We start from the raw sequence: 18,454 nt of genomic DNA, 5'->3' as shown, positions 1-18,454 counted from the left end.
GAGTTCTCTTTTGCCTATGGCTTGAGAAGACACCACATCCAAAATTACTTTCTCATCTCACTGCTGCCTGAATTTCCAACGTTGGCCACTCCTGGCAGCAAGGAGCTAGAAGACTCAGAATCAGACCCAGCTCCTCCACTGGCTGGGAATTCTTGACTGCCCAAAGCCCTCTCCTCTCTGAGCCTTGCTTTTCTTGACTGCTAAACAGGGATGTTATTCCATACCTGAACCCCAGAGGGCAGGGAGAATGTATTCAGGTTCCAGGGGACATCCAGCCCAGCTTCTGGGCACAGAGGGATAGGTGATTAATGGATGTTAGGTCCCTTACATTTTTATTTATTTATTTATTTATTTATTTATTTTTGAGACATGATCTCGCTCTGTCACCCAGGCTGGAGTGCAGTGGCATAATCATAGCTCACTGCAGGCTCAACCTCCTGGGCTCAAGTGATTCTCCCACCTCAGTCTCCTGAGTAGCTGGTGCTACAGGCAGTCATCACCATTTGAGGCTAATTTTTTTTTAATTTTTTGTAGAGACTGGGTCTTCCAATATTGCCCAGGCTGGTCTCGAACTCCTGGCCTCAAATGATCCTCCCACAGCCTCCCCAAGTGTTGGGATTACAAGCATGAGCCACTGTGCCCGACCCATTATGCATTTTTTTAAAAGCGCCCTCTCTGTCTTTTAAAACAAATTTCTGAAGGAAGCTCTAGTGATATCACACGGTAGAGGGGCCCAATCAATCACTTTCCTCCCTGACATAGGAAAGTTGGGTCATAACCGTTTTACAGGGTGACAGAATTTAGATTTTTTTTTTGTCTCCAGTGGGTGTGAAAACTTTACTTCTGGGATTTAAAAAGGATAGAGAGCCAGACATGGTGGTGCGTGCCTGTCATCCAGCTACTTGGGAGGCTGAGGCAGAAGAATCGCTTGAGCCCAGGAGTTCGAGGCTGCAGTGAATGATGATCGCACCACGGCACTCCAGCCTGGGCGACAGAGCAAGGCTCCATCTCTAGAAGAAGGGAGTGGGGTGGCGGGGGGGGAGGGGATAGGCAGCGTCCTTCCCACTAATGACTCAACTAAAATAGCCCTTAATAGAGCGCTGTGGGTACCACTCTGGAGGAGCCTTTACCAGGAATGCTTGGACTAGCCCGGTGGCCACGCCCAGCACGCGGACCACAGATGGACTTCACCTGCGTATCTGTCAGGCCCCTCGGCTTCTGGACCCGCCTGCCTGAGTTCTAACCAGCTTGGACACACTAGTTTTGGAATCACTCAGACCGTTCCGCCTCCGCTTTGAGCGTCTTTCCATCCTTGCTCTCCAAGCGTTAGCCCTTTTCTTGGTTTCTCCATGCTCCTTGTCACCTTCTCCATTCGCCTTGTGACCCCTCCGCCCGAAAGAAGCTTGCAACCCCTCCTCCCTCGCAGCTCTCTTGGCCCCGCGCCCGTCCCCAGCTGGGGCTCTCAGATAAAATACAGGACTCCGAGTTAGATTTCAATTTCAGAAAAACAACAAATAATTTTTTAGTATAAGTATATCCCATGCGATATTTAGGACATATTTTTCTCTAGAAAGATTTGTTTATCTGAAATTCGAGTTTAACTGGGTGTGCTGTATTTTGATTTGCGAAATCTGGCGCCCTACCTCAACCCAAGCGCCTCCCTCCCCTCGAGGCCCTCCAAGCTTCACGACCCCCCCGACACCGCTTACTGGGTGCGCTCCTTCCTCTCTCGCACCAGGCGCTCTCCTTCCTGCCTGCGCCTCTTGTGCTCATTTCCCTTCCACCGCCTGCGTCCCGCACCTGGGCCGAATCCTCCACCTTCCTGCCGCCCTTCAAGTCCTGTGAGCAGTCCTTGCGCCCCTCCTCCGAAACACCCCTCAACTCTCCACGAGTCCCTCTCCTTCAGGTCCCCCGAGATGAACGCACCCAGGTTCATAACCTGCGCGTCTTTCTCGGCTCGCAGCTCCACAGCCAGTGCTTCCCCTTTAGGTCCTGAGTGTCTGCGTCCCTCCTTGCCCGCGCGACCCCCTGCACGTCCCGTCTGCCCCGCGGCGCACCCTTCCAGTCCCCAAGCGCCGCGCCCCGCCCTCGGCTCGTGTGACCCCTCCAAGCCCAGAGCCCCCTAGGTGCTGGGCTCCCTTCCTCCGCTCATCCCCCGCCCCAGCTCCCCTCCGCTCCGAGCGTTCCGCTAGTGCCTTGCCTTTCCCCGGGTGCACCTGGGCAGACCCGCGTATAGTCTGCGCAGCAGTCCCGCGCCGCGCCGCGCCGCACGCTTGGTCGCAGAAGCAGCGCGGGGGCCCGCGGGCGACAAACATCGGGTCACGGCCAGGACAGCAGCGGCCCAGCGCGGCGGAGCCCTGCCAGGGCAAGAGCACGCCCAGCGGCCCCCGCTCCCAGGCCCCCGTGGCCACCGCGGCCAGGACGAGCGACAGGGACAGGATTCGCGCCACGCCACGCATGCCCATGGTCGGGCTCAAGCTAGGTACCGGGACGCCAACGGAGACAGATCTTGTGTAGCCTGCCTTGAGTTGGGGGCGGAGGCTCCCAGACCCGACCCCTCCTCGGACCCACCTCCTACCTGTCACCGAGCTGATGTCCACCCCGATTCCTACCGTCCAAACTTTGCGCAGCTCTTTGTAGTGGTGAAATACCCAGATATGGTCATAATAATCTCAACAACTTTGCAGAGCTCCTCATTGCCTCCAGGTTCCAGGAAGACAGGGGCGATACAGCCCCTATGCCATTAATTGTAATAGCAAAAATACCAACCGTAACTGCTAATATTATTAAAATAGTAGTAACCGCCATAATAATTGCCAGGGAACCAGGCTCTATGTGTCATCAGTATTGCCCAAACCTGAGGCTCTTGGGTGCCCTTTCATTTTTTCACCATATTCTACCACCTTGGCTATTATTTCCTGGGTGTTTCTCTTTAAATGGACTTGCTTTTTAAACTTAAAGTAATTTTATTTTTTTAAATGCCACATCACTCAAGAGAATGAGAAGACAAACCCACCAAACCCACAGAATGGGAAAAATTATTTGCAAAAGACACACCTGATAAAGAACTGCTGTCCAAAATATATAAAGAACTTTTAGAACTCAATAACAAGAAGACAAAAGACCTCATTAAAAAATTGGCAAAAGAGGCCAGGCACCATGGCTCAGGTCTGTAAAATCCCAGCACTTTGGGAGGCCGAGGCGGGTGGATCACCTGAGGTCAGGAGTTCGAGACCAGCCTGACCAACATGGTGAAACCCCATCTCTACTAAAAATACAAAAAATTAGCCAAGTGTGGTGGCGGGTACCTGTAATCCCAGCTACTCAGGAGGCTGAGGCAGGAGAATCCCTTGAACCCAGGAGGGGGAGGTAGCAGTGAGCCAAGATTGCACCATTGCGCTCCAGCCTGGGCAACAAGAGCAAAACGCCGTCTCAAAAAAAAAAAAAAAAAAAATAGGCAAAAGAACTAAGCAGATACCTCAACCAAAGAAGATATACAGATGGCAAATAAACATATGAAATGATGCTCAACATCACCTGTCGTTAGGAGATTGCAAATGAAAATACTAATGAGATAACACTACATGCCTATTCAAAGGATTAAAATCCTAAACGCTGGTGAGGACGTGGAGCAACGGGAACTCTTTTTCATTTCTGGTAGGAAAACAAAATGGTATAGCCATTGTGGGAGACAGTTTGGCAGTTTCTTACAAAATGAAATGTACACTTACCATATGATCCAATATTCATGCTCCTTGGTATTTACCCAAATGAGCTGAAAATTTATGTCCACACAAAGACCTGCACACAGATGTTCCTAGAAGTTTTATTAATGATTCCCCAAACTTGGGAGCAACCACGATTTCCTTCAGGAGGTGAATGGATAAATATACTGTGGTAAATCCAGGCAATGGAATATTATTCAGCACTAAAAAGAAATAAGCTATCAAGCCACAAAAAGACGTGGAAGAAACTTAAGTGCATTTTATTAACTGAAAGAAGACAATCTGAAAAAGACTACATACTGTATGATTCCAACTACATGACATTGTGGAAAAAGCAAAACCATGAAGACAGTAAAATTATCAGTGGTTTCCTGGGGTTAGGCTGGAGGGAGGGATGAATAGGTGGAGCACAGAGGATTTTTAGGGCAGTTAAACTATTCTGCATGATACTATAATGGTGGATACATGTCATTGTACATTTGTCCAAACCCATAGAATGTGCAGCACCAAGAGTGAACCCTAAGGCAAACTATGGGCTTTGGATGATAAGGATGTATCAGTGCAGGTTCATCGATTGTAACAAATGTACCACTGGTGTAGGACCTTGGTAGTGGGAAAAACTGAGGGGTGGGAGGAGCAGGGAATATATGAGAACTCTGTACTTTCTGTTCAATTTTGCCGTGAACCAAAAACTTCTCTAAAAAATAGTCTATTTTAATAAGAAAAGGAAAGGAAAAAAATATATCACTACTATAAATGGAAAACCAGCAATATTTTTCATAAAGAGAAGAGACCAGGCACGGTGGCTCACGCCTGTAATCCCAGCACTTTGGGAGGACGAGGTGGGTGCATCACCTGAGGTCAGGAGTTCAAGACCAGCCTGACCAATGTGGTGAAACCCCATCTTTACTAAAAATACAAAAATTAGCTGGGCTTGGCAGTGGGCGCCTGTAATCCCAACTACTTGGGAGGCTGTGGTAGGAGAATCACTTGAACCTGGGAGGCAGAGGTTGCAGTGAACCAAGATTGTGCCACTGCACTCTACCCTGGGCAACAAGCAAGACTCCGTCTCAAAAAAAAAATAAAAATAAAAAAGAGAGAAGGAAGGAAGGGTAGAAAGATAGAGGAGGTGCAAGGATGACACTGTAAGTGAGCTAAATCCTCATGTATTGGAGCAAAAATCAATAGATAACACCTAAAGCTGATAAATCAATGAATGGCTACATTCAAACATTATTTAGCTCTATGGAAATAAACAACTAGAAGAAATCGCTACACAGGCTAGAAGTGGTTGCCATGACAATTAAGCATATGAAGATGCTCAACCTTCTAACAATATATTTCAAATGTAAAAGTGCAGAGATACATTTCTTACCAATTCTACAGCACAGATTAAAGATGTTGATTTTTATTTGAATAGAATTGGGGAAGGTGTAGGGAAAGGGGCACTTAAGTATGAAGTCTGCAAACAAGAACATCAATACAGTCTCATTTTGTCAATACCTATTAAAAGTACAAAAGCACAGCCTATAATACTGGGATTCCAGTATTTTGGGAGGCTGAGGCGGGAGGATTGCTTGAGCCCAGACGTTTGAGACCAGCCTGGGCAACATAGGAAGACCCTGTCTCTACTAAAAATAAAATTTAAATATTAGCCAGGCATGGGGGCACACACCTGTGGTCCCAGCTACTCAGGAGGCTGAGACAGGAGGATCACTTCAGCCCGGGAAGTCAAGCTACAGTGAGCCATGATCGTGCCACTGCAATCCAGCCTGGGTGACAGAGCGAGACCCTGTCTCAAAAATAAATGAATAAATAAAAATTTTAAAAAATGACAAAAGCACACGTCTTTTGATTCAGGAATCTTTACTGAGAGAGGCATACATGTGCAAGAAAACATGAGTACAAGATTATTTGCTGTTTCACTGTAATATCAAAAGGTTGGCATCAACCTCAGTGTCCCTCAGTAGGGGCTGGTTACATGAATTACGGTCCATCCCTACAGTGGAATATTGTGCAGTCCCCTAAAATAATAAAGCAGTTATTTACCTACTGATATGGAAGACCTTCAAAATATATGGTTAAGTGGAAAAGCAAGGTGCAGAACAGCATTTGTAGCAAGTTACCCTTTCTGGGTTGGTGGTGGTGGTTGTTTTTGAGACGGTGTTTTCCTCTTGTTGCCCAGGCTAGAGTGCAATGGCACAACCTCAGCTCACTGCAACCTCCGCCTCCCAAGTTCAAGCAATTCTCCTGCCTCAGCCTCCCAAGTAGGTGGGATTACAGGCATGAGCCACCACGCCCAGCTAATTTTGTATTTTTAGTAGAGACAAGCGTTTCACCATGTTGGTCAGGCTGGTCTTGAACTCCTGACCTCAGGTGATGCACCCACCGTGGCCTCCCAAAGTGCTGGGATTACAGGCATGAACCACCATTCCCAGCCCTGTTTTATTTTTTAAGGCTGTTTATATTATATGCTGACATATGCATAGCATATCTCTGGAAGGAGATGTAATACACTGGTAGAAGTGGTTGTCTTTAGGGAGAGGAGCTGGGTGGGGAGAAGGAAGGAGGGAGACTTAATCTCTTTACCTTTTTTGTACCTTTTGAAATTTTTAGCACACGCCTTGTGTTACCTATTCCAATAAATGTGAAAGAAATGTTAAGCAATTGCCTCTGGGGAACTGAACAGGCAGTGGGAGAAAAGGACAGGTTTTTTTCTGTTTTGTTTTGTTTTGTTTTGTTTTGTTCAAGACAAGGTCTCACTCTGTCACTCAGGCTGGAGTGTAGTGGCACAATCACGGCTCACTGCAGCCTGGACCTCCCAGGCTCAGGTGATCCTCCCACTTCAGCTTCTCCAGTAGCTGGGACTACAGCCATGTGCCACCACATCCAGCTAATTTTTGTATTTTTTGTAGAGATAGGGTTTCACCATGTTTGCCAGGCTGGTCTCGAACTCCTGGCCTCAAGTGATCTGCCCACCTCAGACTCCCAAAGTGCTGGGATTACAGATGTGATCTCAGCTCACTGCAACCTCTTTCTCCTGGGTTCAAGTGATTCTCCTGCCTCACCCTCCCGAGTAGCTGGGATTACAGATGCCCACCACCATGCCCAGCTAATTTTTCTATTTTTAGTAGAGATAGGGTTTCACCATGTTGGCCAAGCTGGTCTTGAACTCCTGACCTCGAGTGATCTGCCCGCCTCGGCCTCCCAAAGTGCTGGGATTAAATGCGTGAGCCATCGTGTCTGGCCTGATTAATGCATACTTTCCAAAATGTTTACAAAGAAAGATTTACAAACATTTACAAAGAAAGAGAGAGCTCTCTAGAAGAGAGGAGGTCCCTATGACATAAGGGTCCAGAGAGGGCAGGCAGCCACTCTCTGGTGGCTTGTCATGGTGTGTCCCCATGACAAGGACCAGCAGCTTCCTATGAAGTTCCCAGTCTCCTTTATCTGATGTTTCTCTGTTCTGCCAGGTTTGAAGCATCTAAGTAACCGGTGACCCAGTTCTCAGAAAAACCTCCCCTGCAGTCTTTTTGTAAGGGCCCTGGGGACAGCAGGGCACTTGGCAGTTGCCAGCTCTCTGGGCACAAAGAGAAAATTATTATTCTTGCCACTAAGGCAGGAAAGGGGGAGCCTTCAGAGTGTGGAGGGCTGCCCAGCTGAGGTCTGCTCAGCCACCTCTCCATGGGTCTGGGTGAAGAGGGCTGTGCTCTGTTGCGGGCAGGGGACTGGTCAGTCTCCCTTTGCAATGAACTCCTGTCTCCATTATCCACTGTAGAATGAGCCATCCCAGAATATAGAGCCTTAAAATGACAGTGTGTCACTGTCTCTCCTAGTCCTGTGGGTTTCTCCCTCAGGGTTTCTCATGCTGGTGCAGCTGTAGCCAAAGTCATGGCAAGGTTTGATTGGACTGGATGTCTAAAACAAATTCTTCACTCCTGTGGCTGGTGCCTCAGCTGAGATGGCTGGAACAACCATGGCCCTGGTTGGCCATCTTTTCCCTCCATCCTGGGCTTCCCACATGCTTAGCTTGGGCTTCCTCACATCGTGGTGGCTCAGAGTAGTCAAACTTCTTTGATGGCAACTGGCTTATCCCAGAGCAGCATTCAAAAACACTAAGGTAGAAGCTGCAAGATTTCCTGTGACCTGGCCTCAGAAGGCAGGCTGCCACTTCTGCTGCTTTTTGTTAGTTCTATGGTGACAGCCCAGAGGAAAGTGGCTGGGGCCGAGCAAGAGTGTGAACCGCAGTGTGCAGTTTTTGGCGGGCCATTTCCCATGGCCAGCTACCATGATGCTGCTTGTCATTCAGCACTTTCTTCTCTTAGTTCTCTTCCTACCTCACTGTCCACAACTTCTTAGTCTTTTCAGGTGGTTCTTCCTCATCTTGTGGCTTTGAATTAATCAAGTGCCCAAAGCTCAGGCTTGGGCCTCTTCTCTCTCTCCCATCTCATCCAGACTCATGGCTCTAAACACTAATAAACTGACAACTTCTGAGTTTACATCCCCAGCCTGGACCTCTCCCGTGAAGTCTAGACTCTAGTCTCCAACTGCCAACTTGGCATCTCTGCTCGGATGTCTCACAGGGACCTTGATGTTAGCAGCGCCAAAGCCACCTTTCAGCCGGGTGTGGTGGTTCACGCCTGGGATTCCAGCACTTTGGGAGGCCAAAATGGGAGGATCACTTCAAGCCAAGAGTTTGGGACCTGCCTGAGCAACATAGGGAGATCCTGCCTCTACAAAAAAATTAAAAAATTAACCAGGTGTGGTGGCATGCATCTATAGTCCCAACTACTCAGGAGGCTAAGGTAGGTGGATCTCTTGAGCCTGGGAGGTCAAGGCTGCAGTGAACCATGATTGCGCCACCACACTCCAGCCTGAGTGACAGAGAAAGACCCTGTCTCAAAAAAACAAAACAAAACAAAACAAATAACACACATACACACACACATACAAATAAAATAAAATAAAATAAAATAAAGGGGCCTTTCATCCTTTGCTCCCAGTCAATGTTCACCTTACAAAGTTTCCCCAAATCAGTTACTAGCAGCTCTATCTTTCCAGTTGCTCAGGCCGAATATCTTGTAGTTGGCCTGGATTCCTCTGTGTTGTCACCCTTAGCAAATTCTTCAAATATCCATCATGGCTCACTTGAACCAGGTAAAAAAAAACCTCATAATTTGTTTTCTTCCACCTTTGTCTCCCAAGGTCTGTCCTCCAACCAGCAGCCAGGGACTCTATTAAATTTAAGTCAGATCACATCCCTTCTCTGCTCAGAAACTTCTAATGTTTTCTCATCATCTCACTCAGTGGCCCTACAAGGGCCTACATGACCCGACGCCCTGTTATCGCTTTTTTTTTTTTTTTTTTTTTGAGACAGAGTCTCTCTGTGTCACCCAGGCTGGAGTGTAGTGGCGAGATCTCAACCCAATGTAATCTCCGCCTTTTGGGTTCAAGCAATTCTCGTGCCTCAGCCTCCCGAGTAGCTGGGACTACAGGCACCCGCCACCACACCCGGCTAATTTTTGTATTTTTAGTAGAGACCAGGTTTCACCATGTTGGCCAGGCTGGTCTCAAACTCCTGACCTCAGCCTCCCAAAGTGGTGGGATTACAGGTGTGAGCCACCATGCCCGGCCGCCCTGTTATCTCTCTAACCCCATGACTTGGTACTCTCTCTCTTGCCATCATCACTGGAGTCACACTGACCTTCGCTGTTCTTAGAACACTTCAGGCAGGTTTGTGATGCGGGGCCTTTGCTCCTGCTGTTCTTGCTGCTGGAATGCTCTTTCCCGTATCCTTTTGGCTTGTTGTTTCATTTCCTTCAGCTCTCTATTCAGATGTCTCCCTCTCACCCAGGTCTCTGCGGACCACCTGATATAAAGTAAGAATGCTTAGTCTCCTCCTGCACCCAGCCCTCCATAACCTCCTCCACATGATTTTCTGCAAGCATTTTAGCATCATCTGATGTGTTATATTTTTATTTATTTGTTTGCTTTTTGTGCACTTCCCCTGACCAGAAGTTAAGCTACATGAGAAAGAGACTTAGTTTAAGTGGTAGGCAGGCTTCTCAGATGACTCCCACTGACCTGGGCATTCACAAACTTGTTTTCACTTATGTAATTTCCTTCCCTGAAGTGTGGGCTGGACTTAGTGACTCACTTCCAATGAATAGAACAAGGCAAACATGATGGGATGTCACTTCCATGATGAGGCTACAAGATACCATGACTTCCTTTCTGCTCACTTTTTCCCACTCACTCACTCCTTTGATAAAACCAGGTGCCATGCTGTGAGCTGCCCAAGGGACAGGCCCATGTGGCAAGGAATGGACCTCAACCAAGAACCCTCAGAACTGAATCCCTCCAACAAAAAAGAGAGAGAGCTTGGAAGCAAATCCTTCCCTAAGCAGATCCTTCCCCAGTCAAGCCTTAAGATGAGAATGCAGCCCCAGCCAACACCTGGACTGTGGCCTATGAGAGGCCCCAAAGCAGAGGACCTAACTAAGCCACACCTGGATCCCAACCTACAGAAATCATGAGTTAATAAATGTTGTTTCAAGCCACCAAGGTTGGGAAGTAATTTGTTATGAAGCAATAGATAAATAACACAGTTTATTTCAGAGGTATCTGCCATGCCTAAGCAGTGTTTGTTGTGGAAAATTATGTTCAGTTTGCAAGGAGTCATTTAGGGTGCTGAGGAAGAGCACAAGCTCTGAAGTTGGACAGCCCCGAATTCACATTCCAGCTCTGCTCCTGACTTGCTGTGCGATTTGGGGAGAGTCATTTCACCTCTCTGGACCTCAGTTTTCTCATGCACAAATGTAGCTTCCTACATTCACTCAACAAGTATTTATTAAGTCTCAAGTTTCTATTTCTCCCACATCCAGCATGCATCCAATTCCTCAGCAAATCCTGTCATCTTCACGTTCAAAATATACGGATAGGCTATACCAATGCTGGGGACTCAAGAGTGAACAAAAGAGATGCAGCCCCAGTTTCATGGAGCTTGCAGTCTGGAGGGCAGAAATTTATTACACAGATAATCATACAAATATTTAGTTAATAGCTGTGATAAGTGCTGTGCATGAAAGATCAGCGAGCTAACTGAGCACATCAGAGATGCCTCATCTCTTCTGCAAGTCAGGGAGGGCTTCTCTGAGGAGGTGGCTGAGGAAGGAGGTGGCTGAGGAGGAAGCTGAGACCAATACAAAGAGTCACTCCAGCAAAAGTCCTAAAGTTGAATCCCATTGGATCCATCTGAGTTACATGCACATTACAGAGCCAGGAAGATGAAAATGCTGATTGGCCAGGCCAAGGTCATACCCCTCCCCAGGAGCCAGGGTTTAGGGTCAGCTTCACCCAAACCGCAGGTACTAAAAATGGTGGAAGAATAATTCTCCCTTGAAAACATTGGGGTGAGTTGTTATCAGAAAAGGTGTAAATGCTGGGCAGAAAGAAACAACAGCCATCCACAGCAGGACTTAAAATTTTATCTAGAGTTTTTATCTTAGAGTTTGAACCTCACCTTCCCCATGGATGGGCTTCCAGAGCACAACTCCTCCCCTGACCATGACAAAATTAGATAAAATTCATCACTCCCACTTTGAGGACACCACTATATTAAAATGTAGCATTTTAGACATTTAACATATATAAAGAACCCTTATTACTCAACAATAAGAAAACAGCCCAATAAAAGAAAGAGCAACAAAATTTTCAACAGACACTTCACAAAATAATACATGCAAATGGCCAATAAGCACATAAAAAGATACTCAATAGCGTTAGACATTAGGGAAATGCATGTTAAAATCATAATGAGATACCGCTTCACACTCATTAGAATGGCAAATATTAGAAAGACTGATCATCACAGGGTTGGTGAGGATGTGGAGCGCATAAAACTCTCACCCAGGGCTGGTGAGAACACAAAATGAGATAAACCACTTTGGAAAACAGTTCGGTAGTTTCTTGAAAAGTTAAATGTACCTACCATGTGACATGACTCAGTCTTTCCACTCCTAGGTATCTGCCTAAGAGAAGCTAAAATATCTGTTCACACAAAGATTTGTACACAAATGTTCAGAGCAGCTTTATTTGTAATCACCATAAATTAGAAGCAACTTAAAAAGTCCATCCACAGATGAATGGATAGACAAATTGTGATATATCCATACCATGGGATATACTCAGCAATTAAAAGCAACATATTGTTGATTTCTACAACATAGATGAATCTCAAAATCATTATGTTGAGTGAAAGAAGCCAGGCAAAAGCATATACATATGCTGCATAATTCCATTTCCATAAAACCTAGAAAATGCAAACTAATTTATAGTGACAGTTGTTGTTCAGTAGTGGAGGGGATGCAGGTAGGAAGGAATCACAAAGGGACACATGGAAACTTTTGGGGGTGAGGGACATGTGCTCTATCCTAGTTGGAGAGATGGTTTAATGGGTCTATGTCAAGAGTAATCAGGAGAGTGGCGTGAACCAGGGAGGTGGAGTTTGCAGTGAGCCAACATCGCGCCACTGCACTCCAGCCTGGGCGACAGAGCAAGACTCCATCTCAAAAAATAATAATAATAGGCCGGGCGCAGTGGCTCAACCCCAGCACTTTGAGAGGCCAAGGCAGGCGGATCACGAGGTCAGGAGATCGAAACCCTCTTGGCTAACACGGTGAAACCCCGTCTCTACTAAAAATATTAAAAAAAAAAAAAATGTAGCCGGGCGTGGTGGGCACCTGTAGTCCCAGCTACTCAGGAGGCTGAGGCAGGAGAATGGCGTGAACCGGGAAGGCAGAGCTTGCAGTGAGCCAAGATCATGCCACCACACTCCAGCCTGGGCGACAGAGTGGGACTCCATCTCAAAAAAAAAAAAAAAGAGTAATCAAATTGGGGCTGGGCTTGGAGGTTCATGTCTGTAATCCCAACACCTTGGGAGGCCAAGGCAGGAGGACTACTTGAGCCCAGGAGTTCCAGACCAGCCCTAGGCAACAAAGTGAGGAAGGAAGATTGTTTTATTTATTAAGGAAGATTTATTATCTCTGCAAATAATAAAATAATTTTAAAGACCAATCAAGTTATATACTTTAAATATGTGCCACCATCCAGGCACAGTGTCTCAAGTCCTGTAATCCCAACACTTTGGGAGGCCGAGGAGGGCTGATCACTTGAGGTCAGGAGTTCAAGACCAGCCTGGCCAACATGGTGAAACCTCATCTTTACTAAAAATACAAAAATTAGCCGGGCATGGTGGCAGGTGCCTGTAATCCCAGCTACTCGGGAGGCTGAGTCAGGAGAATCACTTGAACCCAGGAGGTGAAGGTTGCAGTGAGCCAAGATTGTGCCACTGCGCTCCAGCCTGAGCGACAGAGTGACTCCATCTCAAATAAATAAATAAATAAATGTACTATAATTATGCCCCAATAAAATTTGGGGGGAAACTTTATCTGGAGAAGAAAACAAACAGAAAAAGAAATATATTTGGAAGACTATACGCCAAAGAGTTAAGTATAATAGTTACCTTCAAAGAGTGGGAAAGGAGACAAGAGCTGTCACTTTAAGTTGTTTACAACAGGCACGTATTTCTTAATGAGTTTAAGGAAACAAGTAACATTGGTTTTGCCAGCAAGCCTTGGCCCAGCCTTTAGGAGACCTGTCACATGCCCACAAACGACCAGGTTATTCTGCCAAAAAAAGATACTTCCCGAATTTGAGTCAAGGGTTTCTGGGGGCAAATTCCCATCTGAAGACAATGAAAAATGTCCTCCCTCAGAACAAGGACTTTATTTACACCTTATGTCTACATTCCGGACTGGGGCCCGCACGGGATGATAGCCTAGGAAGATAATGGAGTCATTAATCTCTGTCAAGGTTAGACTCCACCTGCCAGCTTCCCATCTGGGTAATTAAACCAGCTGGCAGCCCTGTTATCAGTCTCCGTGGTGTCTGCAGCGCAGAGGAGGGCACCTCTGGACATGGCACTGGCTTCTCCAGAAAGACAGGTTCCTGAGTAACCTCAGGAGAAGCAAACTAAGCCCACGCTGGGTATTCAGGCCTGACTCTGGCTAGGAAGTAGAGCCAAAACCTAGGCAAACATGGCCCTCCTGGCACATCAGGGAGTTGGGAACAGATGTCTGAGCTTTTGCATTTGTATGGTTGCCCAGGTGTAAGCTTCTAACCTCACCCTAACCTTTAATTCTTTGAATGCCACGGGAGTTGCCTACCCCACAGCTAGTCTCCAATGAGCCCCACTTTCTTCCTTCCTCACTAAGACCACCAAGATGTTTCAGGGGAGCAGCCCTCTGCCTGCCCCAGAAGGTAAACGTTAACCAGGCCTGGCCCTCGCTCCCTAGAGCATGGTCCAGCATCAGCATCCCCTGGGAGTGTGGTGGAAATGCACAATTTCAGGCCCACCCAGACCCGCTGAATCAGAACCTTCACTTTAACTCCCTGGAGATTTGATCGTGTTCATTCACAAATCTGGCTGAACGTGAGAAACGTCTGGAGAGTATTCCATGATACCAATGCCTGGGATCTTCTCCTAGAGATTTTGACTTAATCAATCTGGAATACAACCTGGACATCAGTATTTTTTTAAGTTGTGATGTACACTTAGTAGCATGTGTAAGGTGCACAAACTTTAAACGGATAGCTTGATTTTTTTTTTTAAGACAGTCTCACTCTGTTGTCCAGGCTGAAGCACAGTGGCGCGATCATGGCTCACTGCAGCCTCTACCTCCTGGGCTCAAACGATCCTCCTGCCTCAGCCTGCCTAGTAGCTGGGCCTACAGGCATACATCACCATGCCTGGCTAATGCTAAAGTTTTTTTTAAATTTATTTTTAGTACAGGTGGGGTCTTGCCATATTGCCCAGGCAGGCTGATCTCAAACTCCTGTGCTCAAACAATCCTCCTGCCTTGTCCTCCCAAAGTGCTGGGATTACAGGCTCGAGCCACAGTGCCCAGCTCAGCTTGATATTTTTTACACATGCGTACACACATGCAACCACCACCCAGATGATGGGATAGAACATTTTCAACACCCCAGAAAATTCCCTCTTGCTCCATCAAGGTAAGGTGACAAACCATCCTAATTTGCCCAGGATTGAGGGGATTTTCCAGGACAGAGGACTTTCAGTACTAAAACCAAGAAACTCCCAAGCAAACCACAAGTTGGTCACACTACTTCAGGGTCTATACTCCAGTGCAGCCTGCAGGGGTAACCACCATTCTGACGTCTATCTAGCGGTAGCTTTAAGAGTTCCTTGGATAATTCCAATGCGCAGCCAGGGCCAATTCTAGTGTGTATCACAATTATCTGGAGCCCTTGTTAGAATCCATTGCTGGGCCTCACCCCTAGACTTTCTAATTCAGTAGGTCTGGGGTGCAGGCCCAAAATATGTTTTTGTTTTTGTTTTTTTTGAGACAGAGTCTCGCTCTATTGCCCAGGCTGGAGTGCAGTGGCATGATCTTGGCTCACCACAACCTCTGCCTCCCAGGTTCAAGCGATTCTTCTGCCTCAGCCTCCCAAGTAGCTGAGACTACAGGCATGCATCACCATGCCCGGCTAACTTTTGTATTTTTAGTAGAGACAGGGTTTCACTATGTTGGCCAGGCTGGTCTTGAACTCCAGACCTTGTGATCCACCCGCCTCGGCCTCCCGAAGTGCTGGGATTACAGGCGTGAGCCACCGTGCCCAGCCTAAAATATGTATTTCTAACAAGCTTCCCAGGCGATGTGATGCAGGTACAGCTGGTCCCAGCACCTCACTTTGAGACTTCTGGCCTGAGCCAGTCACAGTCATTCTACTCTCCTTGCCAATGACTGGCTTAAGCTTGAAGCACACGACACACATCTGGCTAATAAGATGTGAGGAGAAGGCTGCTAGAACTTCTGGGACAACATTCCCAGAGAGTCTATTAAAATGGTACTCCTGGCTTGTGCCACACGGCAGCCATTGGCTGGGGTGAGGGGTGGGGGTCAGAAGAATGGGCTCCTGGGGAAAGATTTCTCCACTGATAGAGAGATGCCTGGAAGGGTACATGCTCCTCTTCCTTTGAAAGTTCAGTTATGTCTGGGTGTGGTCGCTGGCATTGTGTCCTTGACCTTGTGACCTTCACACAACAAGCCTGGGGACAGCACACCAACCATCCAGGATGGCAGGGAGAAAAGTGGGAGAGATCTTGAGCCCTTGAAGAACTTGTTGAAATGGTGGATCAGCCAACCCTAAATGGTCCTCCTTAGGAACATCTCTCAAGCTCCACCACAGACCTACTGAACCAGAATCTGCATTTTTAGCTGAGAAGCATCCAAAAGCACTGCTCCAACTTACACAGCAGAACACATGCTTTGGATTTTCTGGGCCTTTCTATTTAGCCCCAGGTACTTTTTTTTTTTTTTTTTTTTTTTTTGAGACAGAGTCTCACTCTGTCATCCAGGCTGGAGTGCAGTGGCGTGATCTCGGGTCACTGCAACCTCCACCTCCCAGGCACAAGCAATTCTGCCTCAGCCTCCTGAGCAGCTGAGATTACAAGCATGTGCCACCATGCCCAGCTAATTTTTGTATTTTTAGTAGAAATGGGGTTTTACCATGTTGCCCAGGGTGGTCTTGAACTCCTGACCTCAGGTGATTCGCCGCCTCAGCCTCTCAAAGTGCTAGGGTTACAGGCATGAGCCACCACGCCTGGCCCCATCTAGTAATAGCTGCATGAAATCATATTATTAATCATGTGAAAACAAAAAATCACAGGCACTACATACAGAAGCTCCCTAGCCAATTTTTCCATGCATCTCATTGGCCAGAACTAGGCTGCATTCATTAGCTGCAGAGGAGGTTGGGAAGGTGAAGGTCTGGCCACATCTGCTTCTGTCATGGGAGAAGGAAGCAAAGACCCAGGAGGGGAAAACAACTGTTGGGTAGAAACCATCAGTGTCTACCACAAATAAGTATTATTAATGCCTATTTTCAGAGTAAGTCAAGGCTCAGAGGTGTGAACTCACTTGCCTAAGGTCACACAGCTAAAAAGTACCTGCCACTTTGTAAGAAACTGGTGTAAATTTTTACAAATGAGAGGGCTGAGTCAGTTAGTGCATGAAATGGGCCTTGAACCCAGATTCTGTGAAGTTCAATATGGTGATCTAGCCACTTCCTCAAGTTGCCTTCCTTTTGCCTTTTGTGTGTGTTTATATCTTAAGGAAGATTTTTTTGGCTGGGCATGGTGGCTCATGCCTGTAATCCCAGCACTTTGGGAGGCCGAGGCGGGTGGATCACCTGAGGTCAGGAGTTCAAGACCAGCCTGGCCAACATGGTGAAACCCCACCTTTACTAAAAAAATACAAAAAATTAGCTGAGCATGGTGGTGGGCACCTGTAATCCCAGCTACTTGGGAAGCTGAGGCAGGAGAATCGCTTGAACCCAAGAGGCAGAGGTTGCAGTGAGCCAAGATGGCGCCATTGCACTCTAGCCTGGGCAACAAGAGCAAGACTCCATCTCAAAAAAAAAAGAAACATTTTTATATATTTTTTAAAGACAGAGCTAAATTAGGGAGCAGTAAGGTACCCATGTGACTTCCTGAGTGGCTAGCCACAGAGAGAAGAGATGAATGCCTGATACAACTGGAATTTTCCCAGCTGCTTCTGGATGCCACCCAACCCAAAACGCATATGGAACCATTAGACACACAGGCAAATGTTATTTTCACCGTTTTCTGCCAAATGTCTAGCTGACTCCACTGATAAATGATAAAGCTCAGGGTGGAGCCGGGTGCTTAATTTTCTCTGATGGTTCACTTTCCAGCTCAATTTCCCTTCCTGGCAGAGAGTTTGGGAAACTGGAACCCCATGATTTAGAGATGAGGAAAATTCCTCCTAAGCAAATGAAGCATGTTGAGTGTTTATGGAAATGTCTGGAGTTTGACATTTTTATTCTACTTTAACATGACTCCAGCTCTGATAAGTGTTTAACTGATGTCTGTTATATGTGTCTGAGTCCCAAGTTTATCATGAACAAGTTTTTCAGCAGCTGAAGAATGTTGGACAGAATTCTGTGTAGTGTTGCCGAGTTCATTCTCATCTCTGAGCCTTTGCACTTTCTGTCTCCGCTCCCAGAATGCTCTTCCCTTTCAGATTTTCTTGTGCCCAGCTCCTATTCATCCTTCAGATCTTGGCTCACATGTCACATCCTCAGAGAGGCCTTCCCTGAATACTGTAATCAAAGTAACCCTCTAGTAATTTTCAATTTTCTTTCCCATCCCTTTTTTTTGAGACACGGTCTTGCTTTGTTGCCCCAGGCTGGAGTGCAATGGTGCGATCTCAGCTCACTGCAACCTCTGCCTCCCAGGTTCAAGTGATTCTCATTCCTCAGCCTCCTGAGTAGCTGGGATTACAGGTGTGTGTCACCACACCTGGCTAATTTCTGTGTTTTTCGTAGAGAAGAGCTTTCACCAAGTTGGCCAGGCTGGTCTCGAACTTCTGGCCTCAAGCAATCCACCCGCCTTGGCCTCCCAAAGTGCTGGGATTACAGGTGTGAGCCACTGTGCCTGGCCTGTAAATCTCTTTAATGTCTGGGAGGCTGAAACACAAGAATTGCTTGAACCTGGGAGGCAGAAGTTGCAGTGAGCTGAAATCACACCACCACACTACAGCCTGGGCAACAGAGTGAGACTCTGCCTCAAAAAGAGAGAGAGAGAGCCTAAGGAGAGAGGACATCTAAATAGAACATGTTTCGAC

The 18,454-nt window shown here is 46.9% G+C and overlaps 1 long non-coding RNA gene across 1 annotated transcript, besides 2 other annotated features; it reads left to right on the top strand.

Moving 5' to 3' along the window:
* Positions 1,185 to 1,766: an enhancer, noted in NCBI's record as "H3K4me1 hESC enhancer chr20:47935573-47936154 (GRCh37/hg19 assembly coordinates)". NCBI's record gives its function as "activates a minimal SCP1, AML or CMV promoter by ChIP-STARR-seq in primed H9 embryonic stem cells {active_cell/tissue: H9 hESC(primed)}" and the evidence as "EXISTENCE:reporter gene assay evidence [ECO:0000049][PMID:30033119]".
* Positions 1,767 to 2,348: an enhancer, noted in NCBI's record as "H3K4me1 hESC enhancer chr20:47934991-47935572 (GRCh37/hg19 assembly coordinates)". NCBI's record gives its function as "activates a minimal SCP1, AML or CMV promoter by ChIP-STARR-seq in primed H9 embryonic stem cells {active_cell/tissue: H9 hESC(primed)}" and the evidence as "EXISTENCE:reporter gene assay evidence [ECO:0000049][PMID:30033119]".
* LOC124904925 (uncharacterized) lies at positions 9,517 to 10,285 on the top strand. Its single transcript, XR_007067637.1, has 2 exons — positions 9,517 to 9,604; positions 10,003 to 10,285. It is a non-coding gene; the product is annotated as an uncharacterized LOC124904925 (long non-coding RNA).
* Positions 10,286 to 18,454: the final 8,169 nt, after the last annotated feature.

This window comes from Homo sapiens, chromosome 20 (assembly GCF_000001405.40).
Source record: "Homo sapiens chromosome 20, GRCh38.p14 Primary Assembly".
NCBI classification, from domain to species: Eukaryota; Metazoa; Chordata; class Mammalia; order Primates; family Hominidae; genus Homo; species Homo sapiens.
Note: the sequence above shows the minus strand (reverse complement) of the source record. Positions and strands in the feature narration are given on the sequence as shown.